The sequence below is a fragment of the Homo sapiens genome, chromosome 9 (genome assembly GCF_000001405.40).
Source record: "Homo sapiens chromosome 9, GRCh38.p14 Primary Assembly".
Taxonomy (NCBI): domain Eukaryota; kingdom Metazoa; phylum Chordata; class Mammalia; order Primates; family Hominidae; genus Homo; species Homo sapiens.
The window spans coordinates 130,121,159-130,133,112 of NC_000009.12; the positions used below are offsets into that span (position 1 = coordinate 130,121,159).

General features: G+C 48.7%; 1 protein-coding gene across 6 annotated transcripts in view, besides 2 other annotated features; it reads left to right on the plus strand.

Moving 5' to 3' along the window:
• Nucleotides 1-11,954, plus strand: part of GPR107 (G protein-coupled receptor 107) — an 86,259-nt gene that overhangs the window by 67,253 nt on the left and 7,052 nt on the right. For 3 of the 6 annotated variants that reach the window (NM_001136557.2, NM_001136558.2, NM_020960.5), the window contains 3 exons: nucleotides 3,757-3,806; nucleotides 6,325-6,408; nucleotides 7,482-7,603. In NM_001136557.2, coding sequence (NP_001130029.1) covers nucleotides 3,757-3,806; nucleotides 6,325-6,408; nucleotides 7,482-7,603 — 256 coding nt within the window. Of the gene's footprint in view, nucleotides 1-3,756; nucleotides 3,807-6,324; nucleotides 6,409-7,481; nucleotides 8,867-9,038; nucleotides 10,767-11,954 lie in introns of those variants that run through there. The other 3 variants (XR_007061336.1, NM_001287346.2, XM_017014953.3) reach the window with 3 other exon arrangements.
• Nucleotides 1,602-1,741: a silencer, noted in NCBI's record as "silent region_20399". NCBI's record gives its function as "represses an Ori minimal core promoter by ATAC-STARR-seq in GM12878 lymphoblastoid cells {active_cell/tissue: GM12878}" and the evidence as "EXISTENCE:reporter gene assay evidence [ECO:0000049][PMID:35858748]".
• Nucleotides 7,800-8,019: an enhancer, noted in NCBI's record as "active region_29149". NCBI's record gives its function as "activates an Ori minimal core promoter by ATAC-STARR-seq in GM12878 lymphoblastoid cells {active_cell/tissue: GM12878}" and the evidence as "EXISTENCE:reporter gene assay evidence [ECO:0000049][PMID:35858748]".

Here is an 11,954-nt window from a genome sequence, read left to right on the forward strand (position 1 = left end):
AGACAGCGAGTGAGACCCTATCTCAAAACAAAACAAAACAAAACAAAACAAAACAAAACAAAACCCTTCAGAATAGCAGTGTCCAATCTTTTGGCTTCCCTGGGCCACACTGGAAGAATTGTCTTGGGCCACACTTAAAACACACTAACACTAACGATAGCTGATTAGCTAAAAAAGAAAAATAAAATAATTGCAAAAAAATCTTATAATGTTTTAAGAAAGTTTACAAATCTGTGTTGGGCCGCATTCAAAGCTGTCCTGGGGCGCAGGTTGGACAAGCTTGCTTTAGAGGTTCCCTGGGACCCCCAAAACCAACAAGGAGAACAAGCTCAGTCTTCTGTGTCTTAATTTTTGGCTTTACTCTTAGCCCTGCCCCATTTCCTAGGCTCTCCACAGTCCAGCCGCTTTGAGCTACTTTTCCTTCCCTGATATGTGCAGCTCTCTCACCTCTGAGCCTCCGCACCTGCTGTTCCACAGCACTCTCCGCATTGCCTTCTCCCACTGTGGCTCACTGCTGAGCTGTGTTCAGGCCCTTTGGGAAACCCTCTCTTTCACTCCTTTTCCCTGGTCTGGCTTGGGAGCCCATGCTTACCCCTGTCAGGACACCTTGAAACCCAGCAGTGAAAACATGACACTTCCTTGTCTGGCTGATTTTCTTAGTGAAGCGAGTAGGAGTTTCCTTTGTCAGGACTTCAGCAAGCAAAATTCAGGAGAGACTTATTTATTTTTATTTTATTTTCTTTTTTTTTTGAGGTGGAGTCTCGCTCTGTCACCCAGGCTGGAGTGCAGTGGCGTGATCTCGGCTCACTGCAAGCTCTGCCTCCTGGGTTCATGCCATTCTCCTGCTTCAGCCTCCCCAGTAGCTGGGACTACAGGCATCCGCCACCATGCCCGGCTAATTTTTTGTAATTTTAGTAGAGACGGGGGTTTCACCGTGTTAGCCAGGATGGTCTCGATCTCCTGACCCCGTGATCCACCCGCCTCAGCCTCCCAAAGTGCTGGGATTACAGGCATGAGCCGCCGCGCCCAGCCTCAGGAGAGACTTTTAAAGCATTTTTTATCATTTAAACTGTCTAATTGTTGGTGCTGTGAAGAATCGAGTGTTCATGTTGAAGAGGTGTTTAGCTGGTTTGGGAGGGCCACGGTTCCGGTCATGTCACTGGTTCTGTTAGGCAGAGTACAGTATGAGCTGGTCATTTCATTGTCCCCTGCCGATGGGAACAGCAGGTTTGCATCCAGAGAGGAACACAAAAGGTTCATCCCAGAGGGCGAAGGTTAAAATCCCTGGGAGCACTTCATTATCGATATCTGATGCTTCTCAGTTCTCATGTCTTGTCCTCTGTGAAGGCCTTCCCATCCCTCAGGGGAGGAGGAACACCTGATCGCACACCGGTCAGCAGTGGCTGTGTGTGCATGTCACTCAGTGAGTGCATAATTTGTGCTTCGGTGCCCTTCTCTTCTCACAGGATAGCAGCTGCCCCGGGGGCAGAGGCTGCAGCTGTCGTGTATACTGCTGTATCCCAGGGCCTGGCTCAGAGTTGGGGCTTGGTGAGTTTGTATTGACTGAATAAAAAAGAGATGAGGCCAGACGCAGTGTCTCACACCTGTAATCCCAGCACTTTGGGAGGCTGAGGCAGGCTCTTGCCTGCCTGAGCAACATAGTGAAACCACATCTCTACTAAAAATACAAAAATTAGTCGGGCGTGGTGGCACACACCTGTGGTCCCAGCTACTCAGGAGGCTGAGGATCACTTGAGTCTGGGAGGTCAAGGCTGCAGTGAGCTGTGATCGTGCCACTGCACTACAGCCTGGGTGACAGAGCAAGACCTCTCTCAAAAAAAACAACAACAAAATGATGAGAACCAGAGAGATTTAATTTTTAATTTGCTTTTTCTGTTGTTTTTTGAGACTGGGTTCCTTCTGTCACCCAGCCTGGAGTGCAGTGGCATGATTTCAGCTTACTGCAACCTCAATCTCCAGTGTTCAGGCGCCTCCCACCTCTGTTTCCCAAGTAGCTGGGACCACAGGTACGTGCCATCACAAACAGCTAAATTTTTTTTTTTTGAAACAGAGTGTTGCTCTGTCACCCAGACTGGAGGGCAGTAGCGTGATCTCGGCTCACTGCAACTGCCATCTCCCAGATTCAAGCAATTCTCCGTCTCAGCCTCCCAAATAGCTGGGATTACAGGCGCCCACCACCATGTCTGGGTAAGTTTTGTATTTTTAGTTGAGATGGGGTTTCACCATCTTGGCCAGGCTGGTCTTGAACTCCTGACCTCATGATCCACCCGCCTCGGCCTCCCAAAGTGCTGGGATTACAGGCGTGAGCCACTGCACCCGGCCTATTTCTTTTTTTTCTTTCTTTTCTTTTCTTTTTTTTTTTTTTTTTTTGTAGAAACGGGGTTCTACTGTGTTGCCCAGGTTGGTCTCAAACTCCTGGACTCAAGCAATCCACCTGCCTCAGCCCCCCAAGTAGGCAGCACACCTGGCTAATTTTTTAATTTTTTTTTTTTAAGAGACAGGGAGGGGTTTCATCCTGTTGCCCAGGCTGGTCTCAAACTCCTGGGCTCAAGGGATCCTCCCATCTTGGCTTCCCAAAGTGTTGGATTACAAACAGGTATGAGCCACTGCACCTGGCCAAGATTTAATTTTTTCAAAATAACAAGACTGCCAGAGAGGTTGCTAGGTAAGAAAGCTGCTGCGATTTTGCAGATTTTGCATCTTCAGGTGTTGTGTGCGTGCCTGCGTGAATCTGCTGCAGCCCCAGAGGCAGGTGTTGTATCCTCTCAACTGTGAGACTTTCTGAGTGTCCCTCATTAGTGCATTGGGTTTCTCAGAGGAGATTCTTGTAGATTCTGTTAGTGATGTTCATCTTGAAGATAATTTAGGATTACAGGAATTTCTTTTGGAATCCTAAGCCTGATTGCTCCTCCCTCCCCGACAACTAATCATGAGCCCAAAGGAGGAAGAAGAGGAAATCTGAACCTTCACCACCCACGGTCCCATTCTTAAACTGAATCAGTAATTGAATGCTATTAAGCAAAATTAATTTGCCTCCTGCAGGAAGGTTTATGATGAATGAAAGGATTGCTGATCTGGGAGGGAGCCAGGCTTCCCTCTACTCATCAATATTTCAGAGCCGTAGGCAGTGTCAGGAAGGTAGCTGTCCTGGCTCAGCTGACCTTGAGCATGCATGAAGGTAGGATCCAGCCAGGGAGGTTGTACTGAAAGGGCTTATTACAAGTCACTTAATGATAACTTCAGTGAAATTTGCAAAATGCATCTGTGGGTTTATTGAATTTACACCCTCAGCTAGTGGGAGACCCCCCCAGGTGGTTCTCTGGGACCAACCTGAGACTAGTCCCAGTGGAGGTCACAGCTCTGTGCAGAGCTGAAATGTTTAATGCTGGCTCTCTGGGGGGAAAAAATTCCTGATTTGTAGCATCTGCCAATTCCTGTGATGTCAGTATACTCCCACCATAGCCAGGTTACAGCTGCTGACCCTGGGGCGGGAATCGCCTGTGCAAGCCAACTCCAGCTCATGGGGCTCACTGGGGCTGTGCTGCTCCCACATTTTTTCCTGGTGATTGGAGGAGAGACCGCCCAGCGGACTTGATTCCAGATAGATGGATGTGCCTCTGAGTGGTCCTCATCTGCATTAGAGGTGGCCTCTTGACTGAGAAGGTATCTGAATGAGGCTTACTTTTAAAAATGAGAAGTTAACGAGCTCTTCATTTTGTTCTTTCTTCTCTCTAGCTGCTATTAACTTAGCAAAGCTGAAACTTTTCAGACATTATTACGTCTTGGTAAGTAAAAAAAAAAAAAATCCTCAATCTATAAATAAAATCAATTCAAGGAGTAGAGCAAATGAACTTCCAAAGGATTGGTGAAAGCACAAGATGTGCCACCTGGAGCTGAGCAGTGTGGCTTGCTTTTTTTTTTTTTTTTTTTTTTTCTGGAGACGACGTCTAGCTCTGTCACCCAGGCTGGAGTGCAGTGGCACGATCTTCGCTCACTGCAATCTCCACTTCCCGGGTTCAAGCTTTCCGAGTAGCTGGGATTACAGGCACCTGCCATTACACCCAGCTAATTTTTGTATTTTTAGTAGAGACAGGGTTTCGCAAAGTTGGCCAGGCTAGTCTCAAACTCCTGACCTCAGGTGATCCACCCGCCTCGGCCTCCCAGAGTGCGGGGATTACAGCGTGAGTCACTGCGCCTGGCCAGTGTGGCTTGCTTTTTTGCTTTTTTTTTTTTTTTAAGACTGGGTCTCTCTATGCTACCTTAAGATGGACTCCAACTCCTGGGTTCAGAGCTCAAAAGATCCTCCCGCCTCAGTCACCTGAGTAGCTGGGACTGCAGGTGTAGGCCACCATGCCTGGCTTTCATTTTATAAAATCTAGCTGTGTCTTTCAAAATGGGAAATTAAATATCTGAGTTCCTTTTTTTTTTTTTTTTTTTTTTGAGACGGAGTCTCGCTCTGTCGCCCAGGCTGGAGTGCAGTAGTGCGATCCCGGCCACTATTTTTACTCATTTAGAAAAATGGGATCACACTGTCATGTTCTTCTGCAGCCATTTTTGTTTTATTCATTTAAAAAATTATTGGAGTATCAGCTGGGTGCGGTGGCTCATGCCTATAATCCCAGCACTTTGGGAGACCGAGGCGGGCAGATCACGAGGTCAGGAGATCGAGACCATCCTGTCCAACATGGTGAAACCCCATCTCTACTAAAAATAAAAAATAAAAAAATTAGCTGGGCATGGTGGCGTGTGCTTGTAGTCCCAGCTACTTGGCAGGCTGAGGCAGGAGAATCGCTTGAACCCAGGAGGCTGAGGTTGCAGTAAGCCGAGATAGAGTGCCACTGCACTCCAGCCTGGGCGACAGAGCGAGACTCTGTCTCAAAAAAAAAAAAAAAATTGGAGTATCTACCTCTCTCTTCTTTCAAATTTCCCTGCAGAAAACTAGTTACATGTTGTGGTAATAAATTTTCCTTAAGAACAGAAAAGTTAAGACAGTTTTTTTAAAACCTAAAACAGGACTCTGATGGACATGAAAAGTTCTATCAGCTAGCACCAAAAGACAGAGCTTGCTAGAAATTATTAGGATCATAATTTCTTGGAATATATAAGGTATAGGCCTCCCAGAGTTAGTTTGCTTCCTGAGTCTTGAAAGAACGTTTCCAAGTCTTTTTTTTTTTTTTTTTTTTGAGACGGAGTTTCGCTCTTGTCTCCCAGGCTGGAGTGCAATGGCGTGATCTCGGCTCACTGCAACCTCCGCCTCTTGGGTTCAAGCGATTCTCTTGCCTCAGCCTCCCGAGTAGCTGGGATTACAGTCATGCGCCACCATGCCACGCCTGGCTAATTTTGTATTTTTAGTAGAGACGGGTTTTCTCCGTGTTGGTCAGGCTGGTCTCGAACTCCTGACCTCAGGTGATCCACCCACCTCGGCCTCCCAAAGTGCTGGGATTATAGGCGTGAGCCATCGCGCCCGGCCCTGTTTCCAAGTCTTTCATCTGTTCGTTTGGCATTGTCACTTCAGACAGTTCCTTTGCTCAAGCAAACATCAGACTTCAGTGGTAGAGAGAGATGCAAGAGCAGACACTCCACTTGGGGTTGATTTTTTTTTTCTTTCTTTGTTTTATTTTTTCTTTCCCATGGATTTTATGTCATCCACCAAATAGGCACAGGTCATCACAGAACCTCTCTTGTTGCATGCAGTGATAATGAGTGGTCCTTGACCAGCAGGCCAGCTGAGCTTAGTCCCCTTGCACAGGCCATGCTCTAGTGGCCAGCACATTGAGTCTTTGTCACTGCAAGGAGAAATGAAGGCATCCTGTCTTGCTAGAGAACTTGGTAGTATTTGTACTTCTGTGAGTGTGGACCTCGAATGCTTGCAGCATCTGCCAGAGAAGAGGACAGAAGTCAGTAATTTCCCTGTGTGGCTTTATTTTGCTATTACTACTGGTAAATATTCCTCAAAGCCTGAGCATAAGAAATAAAATCTTTGGAGATTGAAATCAAGGGCTTATGTCTGTGGATAGGGTGAGGAAGGGTTAAGAACAACCTGACTAAAGTGTCTTGTGCTCCCGGTGGGTGTGGCTGTTAGCAATATCTTGGTCACCTGGAGAGAGAGAAGAAATTCAAGTGTAACTAGCAGAGTAGCCATGTCTCTCCGCTGCACGTATTAATTCACACTGTAAGTGTCACATACTTTTCTTTGAGTGATTCTGTTTTCTGTTTCCTAGTTCATTTGTGAAAGCAAATTGTTAAAGTGGTGTCCTAATTTTAATGTTGATCTGATTTCCTGTTTCTTTCCTCCTCATGCAGATTGTGTGTTACATATACTTCACTAGGATCATTGCATTTCTCCTCAAACTCGCTGTTCCATTCCAGTGGAAGTGGCTCTACCAGGTACGCTGCTCACAGGGCAGAATGCCAGAGAATTTATGCCTGAGGATAAAGTCTTGAAGTGTAACTTAACAGTTGTTACTAATTTATCTGGGAATGACCACTAAGACCTTCCATCTCTTCTTTTTTTTAACTAAAAATTTTTTTTTTAGTTTTTGAGACAGGGTCTCACTCTGTCACCCAGGCTGGAGTGCAGTGGCGCAATCTCAGCTCACTGCAACCTCCACCTCCCGGGTTCAAGCGATTCTCCTGCCTCAGCCTCCTGAGTAGCTGGGATTATAGGGATGCACCACCATGCCCAGTTAATTTTTGTTTTTTTAGTAGAGATGGGGCTTTGCAGTGTTGGCCAGGCTGGTCTCAAACACCTGATCTCAAGTGATCCGCCCACCTTGGCCTCCCAGTGTTCTGGGATTACAGGTGTGAGCCACCACACTTGGCCTCCTTCCATCTCTTCTGGCCTATAATTGAGATGATCTGTTTGTCCAGAAATGCTGCTGGATTCTATGAGGAATCTGAAAATAATTGCATTCTTGATTTTAGTTTTCAGTCTTAAAAGTCAAGAGAAAAGCTTCAGGTAGAGAAAGATTTGCCCTGAATCATTAGAACTTAGATGAGATGTGGTCCTTTCCTTTAGTTACAGGGCTGAGTAGTTAGAATTCAGGCTGCCCTTCTTCTTTGCCCATTTTATTATTTCGATAATAAGTATCTTTGCGACAAACTAGAACTAGCTTAACTACTAGAGGAAGCCACCAAATGACTTTTTTCTTGAATAACTCACTGGGTGCTGTAGGCACTGTGGGAGGAAGTGGGTATGTGGTGAGCTCTTAAAAGCTACCCATGAAGACTGGTGAAAGCACAGCAGAGCACAGCCTCGGAAATGTCAGCCCTGGGCAGGACACTCCTCGTTTAGGCCTCGGCAAGTCTAAGGAAAATGCCCTGTAGCAGGAAGTGGCATCTGAGTAAAGAACCATCGAGTGGTGGGTTGTGGGGAAATATGTCAGTTTGTTGAATTCCACTGCTTTCTGAAGAACAGTGTTGCTAATCTCTTTATTTTGGGGTGGTTTTTAAACTTGCAGCTCCTGGATGAAACGGCCACACTGGTCTTCTTTGTTCTAACGGGGTATAAATTCCGTCCGGCTTCAGATAACCCCTACCTACAACTTTCTCAGGAAGAAGAAGACTTGGAAATGGAGTCCGTGTAAGAAATCTTTCTTCCCTCTTCCTTAGCCCTGACCCCTTTGCCTAACACAAAGCAGCACAGTGTGAATCGGGTCGGCTGCTCTCAGCATTTCGTGGCTGCAGGGGTGGTTCCTCTATTTTTAGCAGAAGGAAGCGGACACTGGAGCCCCAGGCTGTCTGATCTGGTTTGAAGTACAGTATCTGCCAAACCTAGCTGGGTCTTGTCAGGGAAGATGGAACTTGCCGTTCCACTAAGCATCATTGGAGCCTGCTTTCAAGAACTCAGTGGCAAGAACTTAGGAATATACGTGGCCAGTTCACGAGGGAGAACAGGGGGCCGACTTTCTGTCAGGCCCGCCATCAGGCGCTTACGTCTGAAAATGGAATCTTCTGAGTCATCTCTAAGTCTGCTAATGATCCTCAGACATCCTCTATCGTCAGATAACTGCGTGGCTTTTCACAGCACAATGACTTTGACCTATATCTGAGCACTAATAGGGGCTTTTCTGAGTCACACAGTGAATGACTCTAGGGTCCTATTTTCTGGGAAAGGGCCATCATTGTCTAGAAAAATGAGTAGTGATTAAGCATATTTGCTTGTTAACTGAAATTTGATAAGCCAGGTCAATGCTGTGTTTGATGATTAGCCTAAGGCAGAGTTTTCCCTTCTTGGTTCACTGGTATCAAGTGTTCTGCCCCCAGCCCTGGCAGCCTTTGAATTCTTCCCAATTCAGAGGCTGAGACTCGGCCCATGCTAAGCTCTGCTTGGCTGTCAGCGGGTCAGGCAGCATGGGACAGCTCTCTCTGCTCAGCTCCACGGCAACAGTAAAGGAAGGCAGGTCCTGCCAGCGGGCGCCAAACAGCATCTCCCCATGCAGAGGAAGAAACACCTCCTTCTAAACAGTGGAGAGGAGTGCAGGAGGCCCATCAGCTGTGCCTTTCCCAGAAGTGGCAGGATCTGAGCAAGTGTCTGTTGGTTGAAGAGGCACACATGTCAGGCTGGCAACCAGCAGCATCAGGAAATAACCTAAGACGCGGTGTGTTTATCATTCCCCTGCTGGGAGCCTTTGGCTTGGTCCGTCCGCATAACACGGGGTTCTTTGGGTAGGCAGCTAGAAGCCGAGCGGCCGGGTCGCAGCATCGTCTCCTTTACTGCATTGTACTCCACAGTCGTAATGGGAGGTTCCCGCTTCCCACATCCTTTCCCTCAGCCGTTACATCTTGGAGCCTGGATGCATTATGAAGGTATTTTTGTTTCGTGGCAACAATTTTTTTAAAATTTTGTTTTGGTGCTTCTTTGACAACGCGGCCCACGCAGCTGCCCTCTGTGCAGCCATTACCCCACCAGGCCTGACACAGCTTCTCTCTCTGGGCCTGGGTATGAGGGCACAGTCCAAAGTAACACTGACTTTCTCTCTCTTTCCCCTTCTGTTTCTTTGACCATCTCTCTTTAGGCCTACCAGTTTTGGCAACAGAAGTTACCGGTCAATAATCAGCAAGTTAAAAAGTATCGGATGCGATTTCAATTATCAGACTTGGTAGCTGCCTCCTAGGCTGTGGGTATCCTCAATGATCTGAATTACTTCTGTCATCTTGAGGAGTGAGAGTGGAAGGAAATGTTTGGTGTGGGTTCCTGGGCCAGGAGGTTTTCTCCCTGGGGTTCCCATTCCAGAACGCTGTCCTCATTCATGGTTGCTGTTCACCTTTCACCACTCCCTGCATTATTTCATGTGGGCGAGGAACGTGTGTGGAAATGGGGATTGGGGACTAATAGACTTGTCTCTTCACCAGGTCTCCCCACACTTCCAGACCAGAAAACACTTTTTAGTTATAGAAATGGATATATCGGCTGGGTGCAGTGGCTCATGCCTATAATCCCAGCACTTTAGGAGGCCGAGGCAGGCAGATCACGAGGTCAGGAGTTCGAGACCAGCCTGGCCAACATGGTGAAACCCCATCTCTACTAAAAATACAAAAATTAGCTGGGCGTGGTGGCAGGCACCTGTAATCCCAGCTACTCGGGAGGCTGAAGCAGGAGAATCTCTTGAAATCGGAAGGCGGAGGTTGCAGTGTGCTGAGATCACGCCACTGCACTCGAGCCTGGGCGATGAGAGTGAAACTCCGTCTCAAAAAAGAAAAAAAAAAAAAAAACGCATGAATCCGTGGACCACTTAGGCCCAAGCCACATTTGATTGCAGTCTTGTGTGGCAGAAGGAACCTGTGTCCCATTTGGCACTTTTGGTTGCAAACACAGAGACTTGGGGCTTTGCAAGGAAAGGGGGTTACTGTTTAGATGTCAAGGAAAGAACGCTTATCTGCGGCGGTCGGATGTTGGCCCTTCAGCTGTTCGGTCCCTTAAGTGTTTGCACCAAAACTAGGACACCTAGTGAGGTGGCTGCGAAGCTGCTGAAGCCCCACCGCCGTATGTTCCTGCCAGGGAGGCTTTTGGGTGTTCATCTGACCCAGGTCTCTCTTCTCACTGCTGCAGAGCCTGAGCTTCCAGGACCGTTGCGGGCGCCCTGTCTGCAGGGGGCTAGCCAGGTTTCCTCACATCGTGGGGGCCCCAGGTGTCCCTTCAGCTTCCCAGAGGTTTGCTGGGGGAACAGGATGTAGCGCCTACCCCACCCTGGGCATCTGCCATCAGGTTTCTTCCTCTCCTTGAGTTCACTTCTGCCACTCCCAGTCCTGGCCACACACTGAAGCTCCCTGTCACCCGCCCTGCCTGTGACAACCTCCTGCGCTACCACACACCCTTACTCCCGTTCTCCCTCTTCGCACTCCCAGGACTCACCCAAGCCCAGGGTTGCCCCTGCTACCCCCTCACTGCCCCCGGCCCCTCCTGAATGCCAGGTCCCCCTGTCCTCCTGCTCCGCGTCACCTCAGCCTTGAAGCCACAGTCTTCCTGCATCACACCAAGCTCGCCCCTCCCCATTGTTCCCTATAGGCCTTGGTGACACGGACATCCACCCAGTCTCCTGCAGCCATGGCTGAACCACGTCCCTCTTCCTCAGCCCGTGCAGAGCGTCCTGTAGGCCTTACTTTGTGCCTCTCACCCCCAGCCCCACCCCGCCTCTTGCTCTCGTGCCTGGGCTTTGTGGTGGCTGACCTCTTCACTCCCGATCCTCTCCCCTTCCTGTCCATCCTTCTATTCCCCTGCAGACAGGGTCTCACTCTGTCACCCAGGCTGGAGTGCAGTGGCACTATCACAGCTCACTGCAGGCTTGAGCTCCCCGGGCTCAGGCAATCCTTTCACCTCAGCCTCCTTAATAGCTGGGACCACAGATGAATGCCACCATGCCCAGCTAATGTTTTTGTATTTTTTTGTAGAGATAGGGTTTTGCCATGTTGCCCAGGCTGGTCTCAAATTGCTGGGCTTAAGCAGTCCTCCCGCCTCAGCCGCCCAAAGTGCTGGGAATGCAGGCGTGAGCTGCCCTGGGAATACAGGTGTGCCCAGCCCTTCCTGTCCATTCTCCCGGGCTCTAGAATCACCTGTAGAGTGTTTTTGCAGTGCCAGTTTCCTGGCCGCACCCCTGGAGACTCTGATTCTCACCCCTTGGGCTCAGGATCTGTGCTTTTCTCACTCCCCAGGGCAGCCTGAGCAGGAGGCAGGGCTGAGAACTGCCAGAGTAGGAATCAAGGCCATCCTTGGGTGACCAGGCAGACTGGGCCCTCGACAACCCTGCCGTCCTGTGTCCACCCTGGTTCTCTCCCTGCCACTCTCCTTCCCAGACTGGCTGGATGTATTAAAATATATTTGCCGTAGGCCAGGTGCAGTGGCTCACGCCTGTAATCCCAGCACTTTGGGAGGCCGAGGCAGGTGGATCACCTGAGGTCAGGAGTTTGAGACCAGTCTCGCCAACATGGTGAAACCACATCTCTACCAAAAATACAAAAGTTAGCTGGGCATGGGGACATGTACCTATAATCCAGGTACTTGGGAGGTTGAGGCACGAGAATCACTTGAACCCAGGAGACGGAGGTTGCAGTGAGTCGAGATGGCGCCACTGCACTCCAGCCTGGGTGACAGAGCGAGACTTCATCTCAAAAAATCAAATAAAAAAAAAATATATATATATTTTTATATATTTATATATATATACACATATACAATCCACACACTGCAAGTACTTAGCACTCCCTCACTGCCCTGGGAAATGTCCTGGGTTTTTCCTTCATGCTTTTTGCCTGTTATATTTCTTCTTTTTGGAAACTCCCCTGACCTCCCACCCATCTTGTGGGCCAGATCCTCTGCATCTCATGACGGGCTTCCTGGCTTCCCCGATTCCCCGGCAGAGGGATTCTTCTCAGCCCGAGCCATCACCGAACCCGGTTCCCAGCACTCCTGTCTCTGTTGGAAGTGGCTTTGCAGG